This window comes from Homo sapiens, chromosome 10 (genome assembly GCF_000001405.40).
Source record: "Homo sapiens chromosome 10, GRCh38.p14 Primary Assembly".
Taxonomy (NCBI): domain Eukaryota; kingdom Metazoa; phylum Chordata; class Mammalia; order Primates; family Hominidae; genus Homo; species Homo sapiens.
This window is the reverse complement of record NC_000010.11, coordinates 91,626,635-91,654,053: the sequence shown is the minus strand read 5'-3', so window position 1 is coordinate 91,654,053 and position 27,419 is coordinate 91,626,635. Positions and strand designations below refer to the sequence as shown.

General features: G+C 42.1%; 1 protein-coding gene across 1 annotated transcript, besides 4 other annotated features; it reads left to right on the top strand.

Moving 5' to 3' along the window:
* Positions 1 to 1,200: an enhancer, noted in NCBI's record as "CDK7 strongly-dependent group 2 enhancer chr10:93412611-93413810 (GRCh37/hg19 assembly coordinates)". NCBI's record gives its function as "activates an origin of replication core promoter dependent on BRD2, BRD4, P300/CBP, MED14 and CDK7 cofactors, with strong dependence on CDK7, by STARR-seq in HCT116 cells {active_cell/tissue: HCT116}" and the evidence as "EXISTENCE:reporter gene assay evidence [ECO:0000049][PMID:35650434]".
* Positions 20,351 to 20,850: an enhancer, noted in NCBI's record as "H3K4me1 hESC enhancer chr10:93392961-93393460 (GRCh37/hg19 assembly coordinates)". NCBI's record gives its function as "activates a minimal SCP1, AML or CMV promoter by ChIP-STARR-seq in naive H9 embryonic stem cells {active_cell/tissue: H9 hESC(naive)}" and the evidence as "EXISTENCE:reporter gene assay evidence [ECO:0000049][PMID:30033119]".
* Positions 20,851 to 21,352: an enhancer, noted in NCBI's record as "H3K4me1 hESC enhancer chr10:93392459-93392960 (GRCh37/hg19 assembly coordinates)". NCBI's record gives its function as "activates a minimal SCP1, AML or CMV promoter by ChIP-STARR-seq in naive H9 embryonic stem cells {active_cell/tissue: H9 hESC(naive)}" and the evidence as "EXISTENCE:reporter gene assay evidence [ECO:0000049][PMID:30033119]".
* Positions 20,877 to 21,016: a silencer, noted in NCBI's record as "silent region_2608". NCBI's record gives its function as "represses an Ori minimal core promoter by ATAC-STARR-seq in GM12878 lymphoblastoid cells {active_cell/tissue: GM12878}" and the evidence as "EXISTENCE:reporter gene assay evidence [ECO:0000049][PMID:35858748]".
* PPP1R3C (protein phosphatase 1 regulatory subunit 3C) lies at positions 20,983 to 25,612 on the top strand. Its single transcript, NM_005398.7, has 2 exons — positions 20,983 to 21,098; positions 23,188 to 25,612. Exons 1-2 carry the CDS (start codon positions 21,085 to 21,087, stop codon positions 24,125 to 24,127), a joined length of 954 nt encoding a protein of 317 aa, NP_005389.1. The 5' UTR covers positions 20,983 to 21,084; the 3' UTR covers positions 24,128 to 25,612.

Genomic DNA, 27,419 nt, shown 5'->3' with positions numbered 1-27,419 from the left:
GGCTTTATGCAGGGTTTGATTGACTTGCTTCTGCCTTCCATCATGTGAGGCCACAGGGTTCCGCTCCTCTGAAGGACGCAGTAACAAGGCGCCATCCTGGAAGCAGAGAATAGCCCTCGCTAGATAGCAGTCCTGGTGCCTAAAGTTTGGATGTTCACAGTAATCACTTTATGTGTTTATCTCCACTGTGTAGGGATTGTTTTTCTCTGTGCGCTGCTAACCAGCTAAGGAGTGTGAGATTATTCTTCTATTCAAAGACATTTGATCAGAAGTTGGTTTAAAAAAACTCACAGGTTCTGTCCAACTTTAGGAAACTATGAGTCTATTGTCTGGAGAGATGCCAAGATGACAGCTCTGAATCATCTTTGTAAGTATTCAGGAAAAGGAGTCTACCTGGATGTGGGTGGAAATAAATCATTGCAGCTGATAGATTAATTTGTGCCACTCCAGAATTAATAATCGAGTGCATGAAACCTTTGGATCTTTCATTATTCAACTTTCCCGTGTGCATTTGCATTTTTGGACAACAGAATAACAGAATCTTGGCATTAGCATGAAACTTCCTTGCCATTGAGGCTGACCTCCCACATAAAGCATTTCTGCCTTTAGTATCTCTGACGTATCTTCCAGGCTTTGCCTGAGCAAGTCCAATGAGCAAACTCCTGCTAGTTTTCCAGTCCAACTGGACAGCCTAGTCATTTGAAAGGCTTCCCTTATAGTGAATCAAAATTTGGGCTTTACCACTTTATCCACTGGTTCTAGTTCATCTTAGGAGCCACACAGAATTCATCTTTCTCTTCCACATGCGAATTCTACAGATCTATTAAGATACGTCTTGTACATTCTCCTAGATGTCATAGGCCAAACTCCTCCAGTTCCTTTGACAGCGTATGGAACAATCCTCTTGTTCTCTTTCAGATTTCCTGTTTGCCAGTGATACCCCTTAAATGCAGTATGCAGAATATACTACTTTCATATTTAATTATAACTACCATTTACTGCCAGGCACCTTAGTTATAGATGCTTTTCATGTATTGTCTCACTTAATCCTCCTAACAATCCCAAGCAGGTGGTTCTTATTGTTTTTTATTTTATAGATGAGGAGTCTGCAGTTCAAGTAAGTAAAGTCACTAATGGGATCAAGCTTATGGAGCAGTGAAGAGCAGGACTGGGTGTAACGGCTTCCAAAACCTACAACTCTCCACCACTATGGTTATTTTACTACCTAATGAGCTACTTATAATAAATAGAAATTGAATTTCTTTTTTCTGCTCTTCAGGCAGTGTACATAGTGCCTCGGTTAATGTTGAATGTGATCCAGAAGTCTAGTGGCTGTGAGATAACTGGCTCTGCCCTGGTTGGAGGGCCCAGTGCTGTGGTCTAAGCAAATACTGAGGGGAACTCTGTGACTCATCACTAGTTGAGTCCCTTGATGGCACATTGCAGGCATTCCAGTGTTCACTCATTAATATACTGCAAGTGCTTACTTGAAGCAAGTAATTGTCAGGGAATGGCCGTTGGGAAACTACGGACAGGCGCTTGGGGTAATTGACGGTGAGTCAGACTTAGATTGCCCTTTTAATAAAAAGATGATACAGGCTAAGCAGCAAGGATATGAAGCAGAGGGTGGTGATGCTATTGGAGATGCATTGCAGTGCCTCAGATTTCAGAGGAGGGAGGAATCGTGTTCAAGAGTGTGGGGAATCTGGCAAAACTTTGTTGAGGAGGTGGCATTTGAGCTAGTTTCTAACTTTCTCTGCTTTAGTTTCATACCCTGAAGATGATATTTAAATTGTTTCTTATCTCATTGGGTTGTTACCAGCATCAAATAAAACAGTTTGAGGGAGTGCTTAATACCTGTCACTTAGTAAGTCATCAACAAAGTTAACTATTGCTATTTCAGGGGCAATGTTAGGTCAGGATCAAACACAGGGTTTTGAAGGTATCCAGGCCTGGGTTCAAGCCCAGTGTGGTGTGATTATGAGCACTTAACAGCTCTGAGCCCAATTCCTCATCAGTAAAATGGAGTGAGTGACAGTACCTCCTTCATAGGTAGGCCAATTATATGAGCTAATGCTAACATAATATCTGGAAAATAGTAAGTTGTCAGAAATTGTTAGCTATGGTTACTTATTATCTTTTGAGCTAGTCTTGGAGGATGGGTAGGATTTGGGTGAGAGGAAGAACATTCCAGATAGATAGTGTACCCCAGGCACAAGGTGTACTGTGATTGGTGAGGCAGTCACTGCGATTGGTGAGGAGGTCACTGCAGCTGGGCAATATAAACTCCATGAGGCAAAGAAGAGAGTGGAGAGAGCCCGGTGGTCTTATGTGCATGATGTTGAAGATCTTGCTGGGCTTCTGTTGCTCCCTTGTCCCTCCTAGTTCTGTGTCACACCTCTGTAGCCAGCCTCAGATTTTTCCACTGTGGCTCATCATTTGCCAACTTTGTGACTCTAATTGCCTCATAACCAGACTCCCTTTCTCCTCTTACACCTCTTCCATCTCTTCTCTACACAGAAGCTCTTAGAGTGATTTTTTTTTGCATTTTAAAATTTTTTATAGATTTAGGGGATACAATGCAGTTGTGTTACATGGATATATTGTGTAATGGTGATGTCTGGACTTTTAGTGTAGACATGACCCAAAGAGTGTACATTTAAAAAATGCAAACTTGATCACCTACCTCATCTGCCTAACCCCTTCAGAGGTTTCCCATGGCATTCAGGACAAAAATCTAAAGCCCTTATAATAGTTTAAAACTTTCTGAATGATCTAGCTTCTTATTTGCCCTTGTATCAGTCAGCGTTCTAGCAGGAAGATAGCATAATCAAAATGGGTAATTACAAGGGTGTGGACAGGATCTGAGAAAACTGACAAGAGGTGGTGCAGTCCCCTGTGGGTAAGAGCTCAGGGAGCTGTTATTACCTCTTAGTCTGTAGGAAAAGTGGAGAGAGCCATTGCAGGGCCCATGGAGCAGCTCCACAGAGAGGACCGCCAGATAGAAGCCATGGCCATAGGTAGAGGAGTGAAGCCAAACATAGCCACCTGTCAGGGTGGAAGCTGGGAGAATAAATACTTTGATTTCATTCTCCTCCTACCCTCTGCTCTCTTGCCAGGGCCTCTTGTTGACAGAATAACCAGAAGCTAGAAGGCAGGGAAAGCCATCAATATAGTTCATACAGGCACAAAATAGGTTGTAAGTGTGTGGCAAATGCATCTGGAGGGGCAATTGGAAGTCTCTAGTAGGCCCTTGTATAGTTTCTCTAAGGTGCCATGTACTTCAAATATGCGGCTTCTTTTTGTCTCCCCATACTTCCCCCTTCACCTAGGGATGCTTGCTTTCTTCTACTTTTAGTCTGCGTATCACTCACTCACTGAGGAAGCCTTCCTTAACATCCCTCAGTTTAGGTCATCACATGTTCTCATGGCATCCTCTAGTTATCTTTTGATATGCTTATGAAAATTGCATCATAATTAATTGTATAATTATTGGATTAATCATAGTTTCTCTGTTAGCCTGAGAACATAAGACCCAGTGGTCTTTTTTTCCCACAGTATCCTCAGCCTTGAGAACAGTGGGCTTCGTAGTAGAAGACCAATAAATATTTGTTAAGTAATTAAATACCTAATACTCATATAGTCCAATCTTTAAATTTCTCCTTATATGCTACCAAACCTTGATTAGAGTCAGTCTTCCTAACTTTAGGAGTGAACTTGACACCTTAGTGAGCAAATAAAGCAAGATAGTTCAATAATTTTTTTAAAAATTATATTTAAGTTCTGGGATACACGTGCAGAATGTGCAGGTTTGTCACATAGGTATACACGTGCCATGGTGGTTTGCTGCACCCATCAACCCGTCATCTACATTAGGTATTTCTCCTAATGCTATCCCTCCCCTTGCCCCCCACCCCCTGGAAGGCCCCAGTATGTGATGGTCACCTCCCTGTGCCCATATATTCTCATTGTTCAGCTCCCACTTATGAGTGAGAACACGCAGTGTTTGGTTTTCTGTTCCTGCGTTAGTTTGCTGAGAATGATGGTTTCCAGCTTTATCCATGTCCCTGCAAAGGACATGAACTCATTCTTTTTTATGGCTGCATAGTATTCCATGGTATATATGTGCCACATTTGCTTTATCCAGTCTATCATTGATGGACATTTGAGTTGGTTCCAAGTCTTTGCTGTTGTGAATAGTGCTGCAATAAACATAAGTGTGCATGTGTCTTTATAGTAGAATGATTTATAATCCTTTGGGTATATACCCAGTAATGGGATTGCTGGGTCAAATGGTATTTCTAGTTCTAGATCCTTGAGGAATCGCAACACTGTCTTCCACAATGTTTGAACTAATTCACACTCCCACCAACAGTGTAAAAGCGTTCCTATTTCTCCACATCCTCTCCAGCATCTATTGTTTCCTGACTTTTTAATGATTGCCATTCTAACTGGTGTGAGATGGTATCTCATTGTGGTTTTGATTTGCATTTCTCTAATGACCAGTGATAATGAGCTTTTTTTCATATGTTTGTCAGCTGCATAAATGTCTTCTAAGTGTCTGTTCATATCTTTCACCCACTTTTTGATGGGTTTGTTTGTTTTTTTCTTGTACATTTGTTTAAGTTCCCTGTAGGTTCTGGATATTAGCCCTTTGTCAGATGGATAGATCGCAAAATTTTTCTCCCATTCTGTAGGTTGCCTGTTCACTCTGATGGTAGTTTCTTTTGCTCTGCAGAAGCTCTTTAGTTTAATTAGATCCCATTTGTCAATTTTGGCTTTTGTTGCCATTGCTTTTGGTGTTTTAGTCATGAAGTCTTTGCCCATGCCTATGTCCTGAATGGTATTGCCTAGATTTTCTTCTAAGGTTTTAGGTCTTATGTTTAAATATTTAATCCATCTTTAGTTGATTTTTGTATAAGATGTAAGGAAGGGGTCCAGTTTTAGTTTTTTGCATATGGCCAGCCAGTTTTCCTGACACCATTTATTAAATAGGGAATCCTTTCCCCATTGCTTGCTTTTGTCAGGTTTGTCAAGTCTCAGATGGCTGTAGATGTGTGGAGTTATTTCTGAGGCCTCTGTTCTGTTCCATTGGTCTATATATCTGTTTTGGTACCAGTACCAAGCTGTTTTGGTTACTGTAGCCTTGTAGTATAGTTTGAAGTCAGGTAGCATGATGCCTCCAGCTTTGTTCTTTTTGCTTAGATTGTCTTGGCTATACAGGCTCTTTTTGGTTCCACATGAAATGTAAAGTAGTTTTTTCTAATTCTTTGAAGAAAGTCAATGGTAGTTTGATGGGGATAGCATTGAATCTATAAATTACTTTGGGCAGTATGGCCATTTTCACAATATTGATTCTTCCTATCCATGAGGATGGAATGTTTTTCCCTTTGCGTCCTCTCTTCTTTCCTTGAGAAGTGATTTGTAGTTCTCCTTGAAGAGGTCCTTCACATCCTTTGTAAGTTGTATTGCTAGGTGTTTTATTCTCTTTGTAGCAGTTGTGAATGGGAGTTCACTCATGATTTGGCTGTTTGTCTATTTTTGGTGTATAGGAATGCTTGTGATTTTTGCACATTGATTTTGTATCCTGAGACTTTGCTGAAGTTGCATATCAGCTTAAGGAGATTCTGGGCTGAGATGATGGGGTTTTCCAAATATATAATCATGTCATCTGCAAACAGAGACAATTTGACTTCCTCTCTTCCTATTTAAATGCCCGTTCTTTCTCTTGCCTGACTGCCCTGGCCAAAATTTCCAATAATATGTTGAATAGGAGTAGTGAGAGAGGGCATCCTTGTCTTGTATCAGTTTTAAAAGGGAATGCTTCCAGCTTTTGCCCATTCAGCATGATATTAGCTGTGGCTTTGTCATAAATAGCTCTTATTAAGAGAAACATTCCATCAACACCTAGTTTATTGAGAGTTTTTAGCATGAGTGGGGTGTTGAATTTTATCGAAGGCCTTTTCGATATGTATTGAGAAAATTGTGTGGTTTTTGTCATCGGTTCTTTTTAAGTGATGGCTTACGTTCATTGACTTGTGTAAGTTGAACTAGCCCTGCATTCCAGGGATGAAGCCAACTTGATTGTGGTGGATAAGCTTTTTGATGTGCTGCTGGATTCTGTTTGCCAGTATTTTATTGAGGATTTTCACATCGATGTTCCTCAGGGATTATTGGACTGAAATTTTCTTTTTTTTGTTGTGTCTCTGCCAGGTTTTGGTATTAGGATGATGTTGGCCTCATAAAAAGAGTAAGGGAGGAGTCCCTCTTTTTCTATTGCTTGGAAGAGTTTCAGAAGGCATGGTACTAGCACCTCTTTGTACCTTTGGTAGAATTTGGCTGTGAATCTATCTGGTCCTGGGATTTTTTGGGTTGGTAGACTATTAAGTACTGCCTCAATTTCAGAACTTGTTATTGGTTTATTCAGAGGTACGACTTCTTCCTGGTTTAGTATTGGGAGGGTGTATGTGTCCAGAAATTTGTCCATTTCTTCTAGATTTTCTAGTTTATTTGCATAGAGGTGTTTATAGTAGTCTCTGATGGTAGTTTGTATTTCTGGGGGATCGGTGGTGATATCCCCTTTATCATTTTTTATCATGTCCATTTGATTATTCTCTCTTTTCTTCTTTATTAGTCTGGCTAGCAGTCTATTTTGTTAATCTTTTCAAAAAAAGCATTTCCAGGATTCATTGATTTTTTGAAGGGTTTTTCGTGTCTTTATCTCCTTCAGTTCTGCTCTGATCTTAGTTATTTCTTGTCTTCTGCTAGCTTTTGAATTTGCTTGCTCTTGCTTCTCTAGTTCATTTAATTGTGATGTTAGGGCGTTGATTTTAGAACTTTCCTGCTTTCTCTTGTGCGCATTTAGTGCTATAAATTTCCCTCTAAACACCACTGCTTTAGCTGTGCCTGAGATTCTGGTACGTTGTGTCTTTGTTCTCACTGGTTTCAAAGAACTTATTTATTTCTGCCTTAATTTCATTATTTACCCAGTAGTCATTCAGGAGCAGGTTGTTCAATTTCCATGTAGTTTTGTGGTTTTGAGTGAGTTTCTTAATCCTGGGTTCTAATTTGATTGCACCGTGGTCTATGAGACTGTTATGATTTCCATTCTTTTGCATTTGCTGAGGAGTGTTTTACTTCCAATTATGTGGTCCATTTTAGAGTAAGTGCAGTGTGGTGCTGAGAAAAATGTATATTCTGTTGATTTGGGGTGGAGAGTTCTGTAGATGTCTATTAGGTCCACTTGGTCCTGAGATGAGTTCAAGTCCTGAATATCCTTATTAATTTTCTGTCTCATTGATCTGTCTAATATTGACAGTGGGGTGTTAAAGTCTCCCACTATTATTGTGCAGGAGTCTAAGTCTCTTTGTAGGTCTCTAAGAACTTGCTTTATGAATCTGGGTGCTCCTGTATTGGGTGCATATATATTTAAATAGTTAGCTCTTCTTGTTGCACTGATCCCTTTAGCATTATGTAATGCTCTTCTTTGTCTTTTATGATCTTTGTTGGTTGGTTTAAAGTCTGTTTTATTAGAGACTAGGATTGCAATCCCTGGTTTTTTTTTTTGCTTTCCATTTGCTGGGTAAATCTTCCTGCATCCCTTTATTTTGAGCCTATGCATGTCTTTGCATGAGAGATGGGTCTCCTGAATACAGCACACTGATGGTGTGCTTTATTCAATTTGCCAGTCTCTGTCTTTTAATTGTGGCATTTAGCCCGTTCACATTTAAGATTAATATTGTTATGTGTGACTTTGATCCTGTCATGATGATGCTAGCTGGTTATTTTGCCCATTAGTTGATGCAGTTTCTTTATAGTATCAATCGTCTTTACATTTTGGTATGTTTTTGCAGTGGCTGGTACTGGTTTTTCCTTTCCATATTTAGTTTTTCCTTCAGGAGCTCTTGTAAGGCAGGCCTGGTGGTGATAAAATCCCTCAGCATTTGCTTTCTTGTCTGTAAAGGGTTTTATTTCTCCTTTGCTTGTGAAGCTTAGTTTGGCTGGATATGAAATTCTGGGTTGAAAATTCTTTTTTTTTTTTAATATTGAATGTTGGCCCACACTCTTTTCTGACTTATAGGTTTCTGCAGAGATATCCACTGTTAGTCTGATGGGCTTCCCCTTGTGGGTAACCCGACCTTTCTCTCTAGCTGCCCTTAATATTTTTTCCTTCATTTCAACCTTGGTGAATCTGATGATTATGTGTCTTGGGGTTGCTCTTCTCAAGGAGTATCTTTGTGGTGTTCTCTGTATTTCCTGAATTTGAATGTTGGCCTGTCTTGCTAGGTTGGGGAAGTTTTCCTGGATAATAACCTGAAGAGTGTTTTCCAACTTGGTTCCATTCTCCTTGTCACTTTCAGGTATACCAATAAAATGTAGGCTCAGTCTTTTCACATAGTCCCATATTTCTTGGAGGCTTTGTTCATTCCTTTTCATTCTTTTTTCTCTAATCTTGTCTTCACGCTTTATTTCATTAAGTTGATCTTCAATCTCTGATATCCTTTCTTCCACTTGGCCAATTTGGCTATTGATAATTGTGTATGCTTCACGAAGTTCTCATGCTGTGTTTTTCAGCTCCATCATTTATGTTTTTCTCTAAACTGGTTATTCTAATTAGTAGTTCCTGTAACCTTTTATCAAGGTTCTTAGCTTCCTTGCATTGGGTTAGAACACGCTCCTTTAGCTCGGAGGAGTTTGTTATTACCCACTTTCTGAAGTCTACTTCTGTCAATTCATCAAACTCATTCTCCATCCAGTTTTGTTCTCTTGCTGGTGAGGAGGTGTGATCCATTGGAGGAGAAGAGGTGTTCTGATTTTTGGAATTTTCAGCCCTTTTGCACTGGTTTTTCCTTATTTTCGTGAATTTGTCTACCTTTGTCTTTGATTTTGGTGATTATCAGATGGGGTTTTTGTGTGGACATTCTTTTTGTTGATGTTGATGCTATTCTTTTCTGTTTGTTAGTTTTCCTTCTAACGGTCAAGCCCTTCTGCTGCAGGTCTGCTCGAGTTTGCTGGAGGTCCACTCCAGACCCTATTTGACTGGGTGTCAGCAGTGGAGGCTGCAGAACAGCAAAGATTGCTGCCTGTTCCTTCTTCTGGAAGCTTCGTCCCAGAGAGGCATCTGCCAGATGCCAGCCAGAGCTCTCCTCTATGAGTTGTCTGTCGACTCCTCTGGGAGGTGTCTCCCAGTCAGGAGGCATGGGGGTCAGGGACCCACTTGAGGAGGCAGTCTGTCCCTTAGCAGAGCTCAAGCACTGTGCTGGGAGATTTGATGCTCTCTTCAGAGCCAGCATGGAGGAACATTTAAGTCTGCTGAAGCTGCACCCACAGCCGCCCCTTCCCCCAGGTGCTCTGTCCCAGGGAGATGGGGGTTTTATCTATAAGCCCCTGACTGGGGCTGCTGGCTTTCTTTCAGAGATGCCCTGACCAGAGAGAAGGAATCTAGAGAGGCAGTCTGGCTACAGTGGCTTTGCAGCACTGTGGTGGGCTCCACCCAGTTTGAACTTCCCAGTAGCTTTGTTTACACTGTGAGGGGAAAACCTCCTACTCAAGCCTTAGTAATGACAGACACCCCTCCCCGCACCAAGCTTGAGCATCCCAGGTCGACTTCAGACTGCTGTGCTGGCAGCAAGAATCTCAAGCCAGTGGATCTTAGCTTGCTGGGCTCCATGGGGTGGGGAGAGGGGTGGGGAGGGGATCCGCTGAGCTAGACCACTTGGCTCCCTGGCTTCAGCCCCCTTTCCAGGGGAGTGAGTGGTTCTGTCTTGCTGGCATTCCAGGTGCCACTGGGCTATGAAAAAAAAAAACTCCTGCAGCTAAGTTGGTGTCTGCCCAAACGGTCACCCAGCTTTGTGCTTCAAACCCAGGGTCCTGTTGGTGTAGGCACCCGAGGGAATCTCCTGGTCTGTGGGTTGTGAAGACAGCGGGAAAAGTGTAGTATCTGGGCCAGATAGCTTTGTCCCTCACAGCACAGTCCCTCAAGGCTTCCCTTGGCTATGGGAGGGAGTTCCCTGACCCCTTGCACTTCCCGGGTGAGGCAGCGCCCCACCCTGCTTCTGCTTGCCCTCCATGGGCTGCACCCACTGTCTAACCAGTCCCAGTGAGATGAGCCAGGTACCTCAGCTGGAAATCCAGAAATCACCTGCCTCCTTGTGGTGGCTGCAGGTCTCGCTGGTAGCTGCAGATTGGAGCTGTTCCTATTCGGCCAGTTTGCCTGGGAATCAAGAAGTATTTTTGAGTGTCTACGATTTTCTAGGCATTGATAAGGGTAAGGGATACAGAGATGGATGATATTTGGTGCCTGTCCTCAGTGGGGCATAGTCTCATAGGGGAGATTGTTGCATAAACAAGTAAAAACACGGAGTGCTACAAAAGCTATTCTAGCTGTCTAAGCAAATTCATCTCTGGAGTACAGATAAAAGAGCAGGGCATTCTCTCTCTGTCTTAGGGTTGGGGGAAGTTTAACATTGGACATTTGAGCCAGACCTTGAAGGATGGATATGGTTTGGCCAGGTGAAGGACTTCCAGGGAGATGGAACAGTGGAAACAAACAGGAGAACATAGCACATTAAGGGAGGGACTTAGGTGACCCATGTACTTTCCACAATTAGAAGTGTACATTAGCCAGTGGAATTTTCCAGGAAATTTTAATGTCAGTGGTGATCTTCCACAAGCAATAACATGAGAGGCAGAAAGCAAGGAGACATTGGAAAACAGGGGAGGAAGAGGTATTTGAAGGCCCACAAGGAAAAGGGGAAGTGGGAAAATAGCCAGAAGTAGCAAAGAAGACTCAAAGGATGACAAATGGGTTTATATATTAAAAGAATTCCTGATGAGTTATCCCTTAAAAAAACCCAAGTCTCCATCAGTCCTGGTCCTGGTGTTTGACTTATGATCTGAAAACAAATCTGTCATGTCCTAGGACAACTTGTGCTTTTGCTGAGGTTCCTGAGTCTGGGGCATTGGGTGGTTTGGTTGGCACTGCTCTGTGGTACTTTTGAAATAACATTTCCCCCGACTGCCAACTTAATAGTACACTCTCCTTATTTAGAGTTTTTGTCAATACTCCTCTTTAGACTGTTTCTGAAAGCATCTTTTGACAGTTCATGGTCTTGTCACCTGCTGATTCACCACATTCATTTCACATCACATCATTTCACATCGTTTCAACATCATCTTCTCAATTTCTGTGCAGGATTCTGAAACCAGCAAGTATTTTTCATAACTAATATATACAATTTACCTAACAGGCATGTGTTGTTTGTGCTGGGTATTGTGCCCAGTGTTGGAGAAACACAGATGAATAAGACATTGCCCTTACCCTCAGGGAGCTTACAGTCGAATGGAGGAGATAAACACAAATCAGATTTTTATAAAAGTAGATGGTAAATGAAATGATAAAAATAGTCACAAGGTCTTATGGAAAAGACAGAGGAAAGTCCCTGAGTTGGTGGAGGGAGGGCATGAAAGCCATCTGGGCAGGTGACATCTGAGCTGAGCCTCAAAGAAGGACTGGGCATTAGTCAAGCAAAGGCGAATGGAGAGAGGATGCTCCAGGTGGGATGGGCACCTTGTGAGTACAAGTAGGGATAGGGAATGACAAATGAAAATGAAGTCGGTGAGACAGGCAGAGATTCTGGAGGACTATGAATGTCAGCAGTTTGTTTCAGTTGTTTATTTTTAGTAGATTGAGATTATGGGCAGCCATAGTAAGATTCTGTGGTCAGAACTACATTTTAGACACTTTGTTGGTTGTGAGAAACATGCACCTGAGTGACACAAGATAGACTGGGAAAAGCTGGTTCGAAGGCTATTACAATTCAAGTGAGGGATGATGAGTGACAAGGGAGTGGAGAAGGAGACATCGATTTTCGGAAGTAGTAAGAAGGTCAAAGCAGGTAGGACTTGGTGATTGATTAAATATGGAGGTGAAGAAGACAGAAGTGTCCAACAAGATGTTCATGCTTAGATCCTACTTTAATATCTATGAATGAAGCAGCTAACTACTCAGATAAGGTATACACATGAGGTTAGGTCCTGGCTTGGAAGCCTGACCCAATTACTTAATAATTGTGAACCTTCTATAGTCATTCAGCCTTATCAGGTCTCAGTTTCCCCTTTTGTAAGATGAAATCAGAGGAGTGGCTTCACAGAGTTTTAATGAAGATTAAATAAAGGCTATGAAGGCAATTGTAAAGTTGAAAGAGGTAATCACGTGTAAATGTTATTGCTCATGTGTTGCCACTGTGATTTTGACCAATTGGATCTTGCATTTCTGTTTGTAGTTTGCGAAATAATAACTTCTTCCAGTATCAACTATGAAGAAGACTAAATTTTGTAAATAGCATTAAAACTTTGAATTTGGGGGTGGGACAGAGTAGAAGCAAGATAAGATAAAGTGATACCTAATCATCTTTTGCCCTGTTTTAAGCAATAGTCCTCTGTTCTTCTTCATCTTCTTTTTTTTTTTTTTTTGATATGAAGTCCCGCTCTTGTCCCCCAGGCTGGAGTGTGATGGCATGATCACGGCTCACTGCAACCTCCACCTTCTGGGTTCAAGCAATTCTCCTGTCTTAGCCTCCTGAGTAGCTGGGATTACAGGCACCTGCCACCATGCCCAGCTAATTTTTGTGTTTTTAGTAGAGACGGGGTTTCACCATGTTGGCCGTGCTGGTCTCGAACTCCTGACCTCAGGTGATCCACCCGCCTCCGACTTCCAAAGTGCTGGGATTACAGGCATGAGCCACCGCACCTGGCCCGTCTTCTTTTTAATTTAATAGCATTTAACTTAAAAAAAAAAACCATTAGATTGTAGTCATATTGTAGCAGTGATTATATCATAAAATATGTAAAAGGACTGAGCAGTGGTAGATTCATAGTTTGTTCTTAACATTAATTTTCTTTCTTCTTTCTTCAGAAAGAAAAATTTATTTTAATCACCAGTGGTTTGAGCTCCAAATTTCTGTAACAAAGAAAACTCAACAATGTATATAGGAAAGCAAGACCTAATGCTTTTTTGCTCAACATCATCACTTTTGATTATTGGAAGTTTTTTTTTTTTTTTTTGACAGGGGAAGTAACAGCATTTTGAAGTTTTTTGTCTTCTTATCAGTGGCTCTCAAATAATTGCCAGTTTTACTAAGTGACTTAAGAGTTTAATAGTTGTTCATTTAAAAAATTAATACCTTGCTAATAGACAGCAATAAGACCTGGAGAAAGTTGGCTTTAAAATGTGTTTTTCATGGACACATAGAGGGAAACAATAGACACTGGGGCCTACCAGAGGGTGGAGGGTGGGAGGAGGGAGAGGATCAGGAAAAATAACTAATGGGTACTAGGCTTAATACCTGGGTGATGAAATAATCTGTATGACAACTCCCTGTGACATGAGTTTACCTATATAATAAACCTGCACATGTACCCCTGACCTTAAAAAATGTGTTTTTAAAACTGTGGCTAACATTCTAGAGAATTTACTACACTTCAGACAAAATATTAAAGCCCTAGTAAAAATAGTTGACTCAGTAGGATCTGGAAAATTGTTAATCCTCTCCAACTTTCCCCAGTTGGAACTTTCAACCACTTACCAGCCATTTAGCAGCTAAACAGAAACAGTTCTCTGATAGACACAAAGCTCTGACTTCGACCAGATCTGCTTTTTCTCCTCATGGTTAAAGGAGAAAATACAGCATTCTGGCTTAAAAGAAAGGAACAAAGAGTTCTGAACATCTTGTGGAGCGAGTAGTTATTAACAGTTATGTCCAGAGTTAGGAAAAAGTTGATGTGATATGTTTGTGTGTGTGTGTGTGTGAGTGAGGGGAGTGGACTCGTAGAGGAGGAGAGGTTTAATTTTGTCATATGAGAAAGAAAGTGTTATGGTACCTTACAAATAGGGGACTTGTTTTCAGTCTGGACTCCTCTGCCAAAGGGTCTTCAAAACCCCTCCAATAGCTAAGTTCACAGCTGAGTCCAGAAACCAGATACAGAGCTAAAAAATAGACTATTCAGGACAATATGAATCTGGTGAGTAAATAGTGGCCTAGGTAGGCAGAGAGCCTCTGCATCTCATAGGCTATTGGATTTTCAAGTAAAAATACAGATTGCAAAGTCAGGATATAAAGATTTAGTAAAAAAAAAAACTAGAGGTGCACATCCCTGCCCAGATAGAGCAATGAGAACACACACAAAGCATCCAGGCCCACCCAGTGCTGACACATCCCATCAGCTGTACCCATGAAGAGTTTTCTCCTGCTTCTTAGAAAGGAGGAACTTGAGATAGGAAAGAATGTGTACTTAAGAGTATACATTAGGCTGGGCGTGGTGGCTCACACCTGTAATCCCAGCACTTTGGGAGGACAAGGCAGGCAGATCACTTGAGGTCAGGAGTTTGAGATCAGCCTGGCTAACGTGGTAAAACCCCATCTCCTCTAAAAATACAAAAATTAGCTGGGTGTGGTTGCACACACCTGTAATCCTAGCTACTCTGGAAGCTGAGGCACGAGAATCGCTTGAACCCAGGAGGCGGAGGTTCTAGTGAGCCGAGATCACATCACTGCACTCCAGCCTGGGAGACAGAGTGAGACTCCGTCTCCAAAAAAAAAAAAAAAAAGAGTATATTTAATACATTGTCTCAGTGAGTTTTTTCTCACTGAGTAATTGCCCCAGTACTTTTCTCTATCCCGTAAGTCCTAAGTTAGTTAAAAAGAAAACTCTCGGCTAGGCGTGGTGGCTCACGCCTGTAATCCCAGCACTTTGGGAGGCCGAGGCGGGCGGATCACCAGGTCAGGAGATGGAGACCATCCTGGCTAACATGGTGAAACCCTGCCTCTACTAAAAATACAAAAAAATTAGCCAGGCGTGGTGGCGGGCACCTGTAGTCCCAGCTACTCGGGAGGCTGAGGCAGGAGAATGGCATGAACCCAGGAGGCGGATCTTGCAGTGAGCCGAGATCGCGTCACTGCACTCCAGCCTGGGCGACAGAGCGAGACTCTGTCTAAAAAAAAAAGAAAAGAAAACTCTCTAAGTCACCCAAATTACAGCGTGCAGGACAGTTGAACCAGGCCAGCCATCCTTTTGCAGAATTCCCTCTTGAGGTGCTTTATTCATACATGTTGCTGTGCCATCAAAGCACAGTAGTCCCCCTCCACAGAGGTGTGAATAAAATAATTTCTTCCATACATCCTCCCAATCCTCCCACCCCACCCTATATGTCTAGCCAGCTGCCCTTTTATTGAATAAGCCGTTCTTCAGCGCCTCTTATGAGAATTACCCACTGTATCATATATATGAAATTCTGATATGTAAGTAGTCTATTTTATGAACTCTTTCATCTCACTGATCTGTTTCTTTACACACACACCAATTCCAGTTTATTTTTTAAACTTTAACTTTATAACAAATTTAAGCTGACTGGGCTAGTATCTCATTTTTCTTTTCAAAAATACTTTTTCTTCTTATTTTGATTTTTCTGATGTTGAAGTTTCCTATGAATTTCCGTACATTTTGGCTAGTTTCTAATTCTCCCCCTGAACAAGTCATCTCTTTCCCATCTTCCATACACTCACATTAAAGCCTTTTAAAATGCCCTTCAGTAGGTGTTTTAATAATGTCTGCATGGATTATTTCTAACTTACTTGTTTATTCACCCTAATCTTCCGATGAATACAGAGAAACTGCAGCAACTTGATGGAACTATCGACACAAAAGGATGGTACCTCCCCCACAGTCAGATTGTTATTTTATTCTCTGCTTATTTCATTTTGTAGTACTTAGATCTCTAATTTTGTTCATGATAATCCAGCAGATTTAAAAAAATTTTTACACTTAAGATTCTCTCTCTTGGCCTGGCACAGTGGCTCAAGCCTATATAATCCTAGCACTTTGGGAGGCCAATGTGGACAGATCACTTGAGGCCAGGAGTTGGAGACCAGTCTGGCCAACACGGTGAAACCCCGTCTCTACTAAAAATACAAAAATTAGCCGGGCGTCATGGCGCATGCCTGTCATCTCAGCTACTTGGGAAGCTGAGGCAGGAGAATCACTTGAATCTGGGAGGCGGAGGTTTGAGATAGTGCTGCTGTACTCCAGACTAGGCAACAGGTGAGAGTCTGCCTAGAAAAAAAAACCTCTCTCCTTTGACCTCTCCTCCTCATGCTCCCCAGCCAGAATCCTCACCTTTAGCCAAATTCTTCTCCTTGTAGTTACTCAATAAGTCCTGGTCCTCTTTGGCCATCCTGACCCCCAGAGGCTTCTCCTTTCTCTAAAGTCCTGAAGCATGTGTAGCAAATGTGTGTAATATTCACATGATCCATTTGCCACTAAGTCAACCTGATACAGTTATATCATTCTTTTTTTTCATCCGCCCTCCCCTCTCCTTTTCCTCACCTCACCTGAGATACCTACATGTTTCAGGCGGCATCCTGCACTTTCTTTTCTTTTCTTTTTTTTTTTTTTTGAGAGGGAGTCTCACTCTGTCACCCAGGCTGGAGTGCAGTGGCGCGATCTCGGTTCACTGCAACCTCCGCCTCCTGGGTTCAAGTGATTCTCATGCCTCAGCCTCCCGAGTAGCTGGGATTACAGGTGCCCAGCACCACTCCCAGCTAATTTTTTTATTTTTTAGTAGAGAAGGGGTTTGACTATGTTGGCCAGGCTGGTCTTGAACTGCTGACCTCAAATGATCCACCCACGTTGGCCTCCCAAGTGCTGGGATTACAGGTGTGAGCCACCTCACCCAGGCCTGCACTTTCTTTAACCCCTTATTTTGCTAACACTTATGCTTTTCCACCACACCTAGACCATTGTCTGCTCTTACTGGACTATTTTACAAATGGGGTTTGAGGTAAAAACTAAAAAATTTCCAGTAGTGAAAATTATACTTGAAAATCCCTTTAGTGCAAACGGAATGGCTGGTAGCATAGTCTACTTGGCAACAAGCAGATTTGTTAGTCCTTTCACTTCCCCACTTGCCTCTGGGAATATGCCCTTTGAGTGGAACGGTGGGTGGCTGGCACCGTTTCAATGGTGATCTTATTTGCTCTCTTATTTGCTGAGCCACAAAGTTGTATTCTAGTCATCTAAATGCCCTAAAGATGATAGCACATCATATTTAAGTTCTTCCCATTTTCCTGGCCTTCCCAATTCCCGCTACCTCCTTGAAGCTTCCACAGATATTCCACAGCGAGCCTTCTCCTTTCGGGATCTCTTTGGCCTTCGGAGCTGCTTTTTGGTCTTGGTAGCTACCAGTGTGGTGCTTGTCTTTTTCAGAGCAACTCACATACTAGGAGCGTGGATTCTAGAGGGGCTTGAAACCTGATCCTGTCACCTACTAGCTGTGTGATCTTGGACAATTGGCACCTTCGATGTCTTCACGTTCCTCATCTGTGAAATGGGTTTCTACCTCACCGGATTCTTATAAAGATTACATGAGTTAATATTTCTAAGTGCTTAAAACAGTGCCGAGCCCAAAGTAAGCAGTATATGTTTTTCAGGTTGTATCCTTTTACTTAATATTGGAGTTCCTGTTGAATGTAGCTAAAGAAGGAAGAAGAAAATAGTGTACAAGAGCGCTTACTATTAACTGAGACAAATGAATTGGCACCTTTTTTGTTCTCCAAAATGCAAAACCTGCTCCTTTTAATAATAATTAAAAAAAAAAAAAACCAGTTCGCAACTTCCCTGACTCTTTCACTGAAACTCCGTAAGTGATCTTCAAGATCACTTACGAGGTTTCTCTCAGTTACCACTAACTGTGGTTAAAGTACTGACATTTTTATATTAATAACTATGAGGCTGAATTCTCAAGTACTTTCTTGATTAGGCACTGAAAAAAGACAAGCTTGCAGAAAATGAGTTGGCAACTTGGCAACCCCCCAGGGTGTTTTTCCAAAGGCAGCTCTCAGGCAACGTGTTGAGTGAATGCTGTAAGAGACCCACTTGTGTAAGCCCCACAATTATCAGCTCCTTGCTTAGTAGCTTCTTAAAATGTCTGCTGGGTATTCTATGAATTTGTTTTTCTGTAATAATGATTGTAACCTCCTCAAGGTCAAAGGATTATGACTGCTCAGACTTTGTAACCCCTGGCATGGAGCTGGAACTACTGCATAGCTCAATAATTTCCTGCTGATAGATTGATTGTTAAGATGGGTAGGACCAAGCAATGTTTAGATGCTGCCAAACCACAGTGGGAGAAATCCTACGAATAATAGTACAACTCCCCACGATTCCTTTCTACTCTGTCTTCATTGGTGCAACCTACAACTAAGAACACTGATTCCATCCTAGTTTCTCTCATCCAATAATGAAGGGGAGCAAAAGCTGGGAAGGAGACAGAAGTGAAAAGCCTGGATCATCCAATTTAGAGGTTTATTGAGTGAGTGTTGAGTCCTTTTAGGAGAAAGCATGGTCTCCCTGAATCTTCCATTTGAAGGAGCTGAAAGGGAGAGTGACTTCTATGGCATTAGTCAACACCAGGGGGCAGGAGAGAAAGCTGTATGAATGGAACAGGCTGAAAGGGTGGTGTGAGTAAATGGCACAAGCATGTGAAAATTTCCACCACGGTTCTTGGCACCTAGCAGTACGCTATATGTGTTAGTTGAATCCCAGAGTTTTAACGCCCTTGAAAAATTATTTCTTAATTAGGTCGTGTATGTTCATTGTAGAAAAATTAAGAAAAACAACAGAGCAGCAAAACAACGAAGACATTTTTAATCACTCATAATCTCACCATTCCAAAATGAACTGTTCACATTTCTGTAGAGCACATTCTGTTTTCTATGCATGGATACCTTTCCCTCAAAATGCGATCACCATAAATTGTTATTCATGTTTCTCCATAGTTTTAACTGGTAATATTTACTATTTAGCTCAACATATAATCATGGGTAGAGGAAAAGAATACCCAGGGTTCTAGTTTTGGCTCAGACCTAGCCAGCCCCTGGCAAGCAGCTTGACCTGTCTAAGCTTTCAGTTCCTCATCTGTGAAATAAAGAGTTTGATGCCTATCACCTCCTACCTCCATAATTCTAACCATTGATGGGTCATTAAAATAAGACAATATGGTGCAGCGGTTATTGCTCTGGTATCAGCCAGGCTCTAATCCCTGCTCTACCTGTGAGAACCTGGGCAGGTTTTTTTTTTGTTTTTTGTTTTCGAGATAGAGTCTCGCTCTGTTGCCCAGGCTGGAGTGCAGTGGTGCAATCTCAGCTCACTGCAACCTCCGCCTCCCGGGTTCAAGCGATTCTCCTGCCTCAGCCTCCAGAGTAGCTGAGAGTACAGGTGTGCACCACCATGCCCGGCTAATTTTTGTATTTTTAGTAGAGATAGGGTTTCACCATGTTGGCCAGGCTGGTCTTGAACTCCTGGCCTCAAGTGATCCACTGGGCAGATTTCCTGACCATTCAGTGTCTCCGTTTTCTTTTCTCTAAAATGGGATTAATAATTGGACATATCACATAGGGTTGTTGTGAGGATTGAATTGATAGCACATAGTGTTTGGCACAGAGTAAAGGCTCAACAAGCAGCAGCTATTCTCAATATTTTAGCTCAGGCACCAGGCGCCTTGAGGTGATAGAGTAAAAACTCTAGCTGAGAGATCAAGTAGAAACTTGGGAACTAGCCCGGGTGGAACACAGGCACTGGGCATCGTGCTGAGTCTGTTCATTGGCACCATCTTACTTCATCTTCAGAACGTTACTATCTCTGTTTTACACATGAGGAAACTGAGGTTAGAACTTGCCTAGATTCGTGTAGCTAGTAAGTGTCAATCCAAAGACCTTCCAGCTAGTTTTGGTTGAGCTAAAGGGGCTAGAAGACCTGCCATTAGTTAGATATTTCATTTCAAAAATAAAACCCAGGCATGAAGTCCCTTTCCCAGTGATATTCAGTGTGATTTTTTTCTTCACTCTAATAATTTTAACAATTCCACTGTTTGACAGTTGTTTAAAAGACATAGGAATTTTTGTATATTTTAATTGACTAATGGATAGCTCAATTAGGGGAGCAAAACTAGGATGTGGGTTTTATAAAAATAATTTAGACTTGACTTAGACATTTAATTTTACAGTTGTAAATGATGGTCTAAAAATTCTTCAAACTAATCAAAATAATGAAACTTCAGCGAAAGTGAGTGGCTCAGAAGGCCCATGAAACATACGGCGTGATTTTTTAAATTTTATTTTAACATTTTGATTTCCACACCACTGCCAAAGGACGTCAGAATTGAGTAAGGGGTTTGGGTTGACTGCTGCCTCTTGACCGGCTGTATGTGTGAAAAGGGTCATTTCACTTCCGGCTTTAGTGTTCCCCGCAGGGGAGAAAATTGAAGAATAGACAGAAATACGAAGTGTCTTTTAATTAAATGCCACCTTGGTGTTTTATGGGGCTCGTATGCTTTCCTAACAACATTTGTTAGATAAGTTGGTAATTCCCGGCAGCTGTCTACTGTGTGGTGCATCTGTGAACTCATACTAATCGAAAAGCATGCAGCCAGTTTGGGATCGCGCAGGCTAAGGTGAGGGAGAAATGCGGATACACCGGGTAATGAACGATATAAACATTTCAAATGCGATACACATTCGGTTTGAGCCACATCTTCTGTGTGCAGATTCACCCGCAGTGACCCACAAAGCTATTCCCAAGTAACAGCCGCCCCAAGCCTGAGGCACTGGCGCCCCGCCTGGGCGAGGCTGGCTGCGCTCTCTCTTGGCCGGCGCCCGCTGCATGCGGTACGTGCCTGCCCGGCCCCTAGCCCAGGGTTCCCGTTACGCGGCTGGTTCCAGCTGGCCGCGGAGTCCCAGAACCTCCCCGCGATGCCCAGATAGCTCTCTGCACGTCTCGCCCCGGGGCGATCACGTTGCCGGGGCGAGGGCTGGCGCCCCAGCTGGGCGCTGGTTGGTCGCGCCCTGGGGCTCGAGGCCCGGCGATTGGTCCCAGGGATCGGGTCACGTGCTTGGGAGCAGATAAGCGGCCTCTAGGCGCCGGGCCCTCAGTCTCTCCCAGCGACCGCCGCGGGGGCAAGGCCTGGAGCTGTGGTTCGAATTTGTGCAGGCAGCGGGTGCTGGCTTTTAGGGTCCGCCGCCTCTCTGCCTAATGAGCTGCACCAGGTAGGTTCGCTGCAACTCTGCGCGCTAGGAACACAGGGGAACGCGCAGCTGTGGGGAAGTTGGGGGGCGTTTCAGTTCTATCATCTCTGGAAATGGACACCCCAGGGGGAGGACAAGTGGACTGACTGCGTAGTTGAATCTGGCAACCGAGAGGCCTTGGAGGTGTAGAAATTTGGCTCTATTTCTTAAGCAGAGCCTATTTTAGTAATCAGCATCTTAAAGCAGAAATTATCTTAACGTGAATCAGCTTGAGTTAGGATTTTCTCATGGATGCGGCTGTTCTTTTGGTCCTGCACAAATGTCCCAAAGACTCGGGCAGCTGAAGTGGTGAGAACAGCACTCTGACATTGCTGGTTAGGTGGTTTAGCTTGGAGGAAAAAAATTACAGGACGACGTTTGCATTCATTCGTCCTTCTTATCACAGTTTGCCATAGCAAAATCTCAAGAGTTTGAGCAAACGATTACTTTTAACTCTTGTCCAGGACTTAAAGTTCCAAGGAAATCACCCAAACTAAAACTGTCTTTCTATAAATGCAAAAAGTAAAAAAAAAAAAACAAAAAAACCAAAAAAAACCTCCCATAAAACTACTTTAAATAGCTTCTCCAGACATAGCTTAGCAGAAGACTTCTCTAAAAATCCTGCCTATTAACTATTATTAGACCCACAAATATAGCTTTAGCTTTCATTTGTTTGTTCTAAGTTTGCAGATCTCCCAGAAAAACCCCAGAGCTAACACAGTAAATTCTGCGAGTGTTATTACACACTTTTGTGATAATGACCACTTGCATACATGTTTAGAGCTGCTGTGAGGAGAGTTACTAAAGCCAGACTGAGAAATGTCGTGTACAGTATACACACACCTCTTACTTGTAAGGCTAAGATAGGGAAAAAAATCTTAATACCATAAGCTTGGAAATATATGATGAGGGCTAAAGGTCAGAGAAAAGTCTTCTTTATAGATGCTTCTTGGTTTAATATTGCTGAGCATAGTCATGTTTAAAACTTTAAATGGTTTTATTGTCTTTCTACTTATAAATGTCTATTAGAAAATGCCAAAAAAGAACAAAAACGAAAATAGATAATCTATAATCCTATCACCCAGAAATAATAATTATTAAATTATTAGGAAAGGTGTATTTCCTATAGAGTTTTTCAATATTTATAAGTTTGTATATATAAAATGTATATTTTAAAACACTCCAACTTTCAGGTAATCAGTTTTTCCACTTAAATGTGGACTTGTCATGGGCATCTCTTTAGGTGAATTATCAATTATATAGTTTTTAAGTGCATATGAATTGTTGGCTTGTATTTCAGTGGTTATTTGTGAAAAATAAGAGCATGATAATCAAAGTGCAAAGATGATTCTTTGACTTCTTCTCTAGCCTTCTCACTCTCAAAACTGTTGCATGTTATTTTTTTTTTTTCAAGTGAATTACCTTACCAGAGAAGTGTCAATCAATTTAGCAGCAAAATAAGCCAACGTAGCCAGAGGGAGCAGAGGGTCTGGAACTGTGGCTCCTGAACCTGTCTGGTCATTAGAATCACCTGGGAAGCTTTAAGAACATACCCATCCCTTGGCCCTAGCCCCAGAAGTTCTGCCTCAGTAGTTCTGAGTCCCAGGAATTGGAAAGAAAGAAGAAAGAGAAAGAGAGAGAGAGAGGAAGAAAGGAAGGAAGGAGGGAAGGAGGAAAGGAGGAAAGACAAGAAAGAAAGAAAATGAATTCCCTAGACATAGTGACCAGACAGGTTTGAGGACCACTGGTCCAGAACAGAGCACACAGTTCTCAAGGCTGCCTTGGAGATAATCAAATCGAACCCTTTTATTTCTCAGATGGGGAAACTGAGACCCCCATCACCCTCTAAGTGTTTTAAGCAATTAATAGCCTTTAGCCGGCCAAGGGTAGAGGTAGACATAGAAGATCTGATCACTTAATACTGTTCTCTTTTACTACATATGATAGCACCTGCCTGATATCTAGTGCACTGGCTATAATTCAGTCAGCACAAAAATAGTACATATGTATTTGGCACTGGGGAAGAGCATTTCCGATCCAGGTGATAATCCCTCTTCTTTTTGCATTCCAGAATGATCCAGGTTTTAGATCCACGTCCTTTGACAAGTTCGGTCATGCCCGTGGATGTGGCCATGAGGCTTTGCTTGGCACATTCACCACCTGTGAAGAGTTTCCTGGGCCCGTACGATGAATTTCAACGACGACATTTTGTGAATAAATTAAAGCCCCTGAAATCATGTCTCAATATAAAACACAAAGCCAAATCACAGAATGACTGGAAGTGCTCACACAACCAAGCCAAGAAGCGCGTTGTGTTTGCTGACTCCAAGGGCCTCTCTCTCACTGCGATCCATGTCTTCTCCGACCTCCCAGAAGAACCAGCGTGGGATCTGCAGTTTGATCTCTTGGACCTTAATGATATCTCCTCTGCCTTAAAACACCACGAGGAGAAAAACTTGATTTTAGATTTCCCTCAGCCTTCAACCGATTACTTAAGTTTCCGGAGCCACTTTCAGAAGAACTTTGTCTGTCTGGAGAACTGCTCGTTGCAAGAGCGAACAGTGACAGGGACTGTTAAAGTCAAAAATGTGAGTTTTGAGAAGAAAGTTCAGATCCGTATCACTTTCGATTCTTGGAAAAACTACACTGACGTAGACTGTGTCTATATGAAAAATGTGTATGGTGGCACAGATAGTGATACCTTCTCATTTGCCATTGACTTACCCCCTGTCATTCCAACTGAGCAGAAAATTGAGTTCTGCATTTCTTACCATGCTAATGGGCAAGTCTTTTGGGACAACAATGATGGTCAGAATTATAGAATTGTTCATGTTCAATGGAAGCCTGATGGGGTGCAGACACAGATGGCACCCCAGGACTGTGCATTCCACCAGACGTCTCCTAAGACAGAGTTAGAGTCAACAATCTTTGGCAGTCCGAGGCTGGCTAGTGGGCTCTTCCCAGAGTGGCAGAGCTGGGGGAGAATGGAGAACTTGGCCTCTTATCGATGAATTAAGCAACAATGTAACTGGTCTTGACTTGTCATATTCCCCCATGCAATCCTAGGTCTGTATTGCTCAATTTTAGGAAGCCTTTGCTACTCCATCAGTAGGTTTAGATTTGAGCTTTTGAGACCTGGCTATGGAAAAGAAAGACACTTGAGAATTTAGTGTTGGGGTCTGTACAGATGATGCTACCCAATTTGGCTTTGAAGGATCAAGTAACAGGTTGAAAACTATTTTTATAAAGGTAATACTTTTTCAGTTCCCTTCTTCCTTCCCTCTCAATCCACTAGCTTTCATGTTGGGCAAGGAAAAGTTGAGGAAGGATGGCTGATGGTGATGGAAAGCTGTGTTAATGGTATGAGGAATGTGTGAAAAGTATACACAAAGGGCTCTGAAGCTCAAGTCAGAGGAGTGGGAGGTCTGATCATTGTTGGTGGAAAAACGTAAGGTTATTTTGTGTTTTTAAGTTGGTTTTACAATTCTTTCCTGGGGAAATTATTTCTGGAGGGGAAAAAGATCCATTCTACGTATCCTTGTGGAGAAAAGCTAAATAACCTTTAAGAATGTGGGTGGTATTGGAGAAAGAAGATGAATTATAGCTCCGGAGAATCAAGATCTTAAGTGAAGCCTTTCTGTTCAGATGTGATCTATAAAAAATCATAATTTGGGGAAAGTTTAAGCAAATCTGGCTTTGTAGTCCTGATGTTATAAGTGACTTTGTGATCAAACTGTCAGGCTTGGGTTCTTGTTATAGAATGCTTGGTATAGAAAAACCATGCCATCATTAATGGCTAACAACACGTAGGGACTTCATGTCATGTCAAAGATAGCTCTTTGCAAGTGCCTTGATTAAACCAGAAAACTGTCATCGTTTAACCCAAATATCTGAATGGTCATCTGGTAACTCATGGGTTTTTGGCCTCATAAGATGGTCCACTCTGTACACAGGCATTCCTCCTGCAATAATGTTGTATCTTTGAGACCGTTGTCAGTGTACACAACTCACATCCTTCATATTGAAGGTGACTCATTTTTCTGCACACTTTTTTGATGTGATGCTTGACGTGAGGCCCGACACTAGGATTCTCAATGCAAGAATCCAGTACCTTGCACATAGAAGTAGCAACCCATCCCTTGCCTATTTTCATCTTGCTGTTTTCTTTTTTTTAAAAAAATGGATGTGACTTGTTTTGAATGTTTTGTATTATACTTGTTTTTGTGTGTGCATAAATTCATTCTGTAGGATCTTAAGAAAAAGAGTCCCAGAATGTTGCTTCTATTATTGTGCACAACCATTGAGAGGTGTTACAAGAATGCAGTTAATTTTAACATGTGTGATGTGCCATGGTGGAAAAGTACTATCGGAATAACTCTGCAGTGACAGAATTTGAAGTTTGGCTAGCATCCATACTTTTCTACTGTAAATATTTCACTCTCCTCTAGCTATCCTTGATGAGCTTCTCACTTTAAGAATAAATGTGTTTGATATAAGGCCTGAGTATATTTTCTTTCTCAAAGCCACAGTCAAATAAGAAACTCAACTGACATTCTCATTTTTCATTTAGGAACAACTGAGCAGAGTTAGTATGGACCAAGACATGGATCCATCTGAGGATATTCACAAGGCCCCAGTCTCAATAGTGAGCACACTTCCTACCACCTGACCATTGGGGCTGGAGAGCAGGGTCAATAACTTGAGCTGTTGCTACTACTTCTTCCCCTACCCTGACTGTCCTCATCTATGGTTTCTGCTCACACACACACAATCTGCTGGGTCAGGGTTATGTTGGAGGCCATGTCTCAGCTTTAAAATGGGGAAGGAGTTGGTGTGGGAAAGGTTGGAGTGGCTGCTACGTCTTGAGCTACAGCACGTTCCTGAACGGGCAGAACTTCCAGCTGCACAGAGGGGCATAGGGAAGGGGCAGTAGGCGCCAGTCCTGGACTGAAGGGAGCAGCACTGCTCCTTGGGGTGAGAGGCAGCAGGTCCATGAACCTAAGTTGTTGCTCCAGTTCTGCCTAAAATCTGCACAGTGTATCTAAAGAAAGATCTGCACAGTGTTGACCAATCTACTAAAAAGGCCCAATTATGAAGAATAAACTTTTATCATATCATAGAATCCTCTATGTCAGAGCTGTAAACCACAGGCCTGCAGGCTGTATCTGGGCACAGATGTATTTTATTTGACACGGGATTTTTAAAGAATTTATTGCCATGATATAACCATCAGCAGACTACATTAAAAAATCTGGGTTTACTTTTTTTCCTAAAAAAATTGTAAGGTCTCCCCACATGGCAACAAATACATGAAGTTGAATAGTAGCTGTGCCCCTTAGATGGGGCATGCATCCTAGATGGGTCAAACTGCCTTGTTTTGGCCACAGTCTCTACCCATGCCTTCACTCTCTCACACTATCTGCCGAGCTCTGTAAGAGCTGGAATTTACAGCCCCTATTTTGTTTCCTCTCTATTTATGCTGATGGTTTGGTGGACTGCCCTGTTCCCAAGGGATGGAGAAAAATCAAACTTGGGTCTGACAGGGACCTCGAAGACCATGGGGCTCAAGTGCCTAACTTTATAAAAGAAGAAACTAAGATCCAGATAGGTGAAGTGACTTGTTCAAGGTAGTGTGGCCAGGGTGAGCCAGCTGAACAGTGACTTGTCACTTAGTGTCCCTCCCTCTGCTTCACACAGCCTCCTTGAAATCTCCCATGGAGTTGCCCCTTCTCCCGCAGCCCCCTTCTTACAGGAGAGCTATTTTCAGGCAGGCATGACCAGCTTGACCCAATTTTGGGGTGACCCTGGGCAGCTGATGAGGGAGGAGCTGGTCAAAGAGCAGGGTGTTCCTGGAGCTTTACTATCAAATAGAATTAACTGCATTTCACATCCTGATATCTCGCCTAATAGTAGAAGCAACTTTGCTTTTAAAAATTTAACATGAGAGAATAACTTAAATTTGGAATGCATGATATTCTGTTCCAAAAAATATTAAGTTTAATTTAGTTATTTAAGGAAGGACTATTTTTTTTCTCTCTACATTGATGGCTCTCCTTTTAGTTCATCCCCAGACTGAAAGGCTGGAAAACTCTAGGGTGGCAGTGAACTGTGCATCTTTATCAATGTGAATCCAAAAGTTCTGCACAAGTTTGAGTGACCCTTCAAGCTGCAAAGGGAGAATCTCTTCCTCAGCTTTCATCTCTAGGTTCCTCATAGAGTTTTTTGGCAGCTACTGGGAGCTGTCATCTGAACAAACCCTCTCATTAGTGGGGAAGGATCCCAAACTCAGAGCAGTCCATGTGC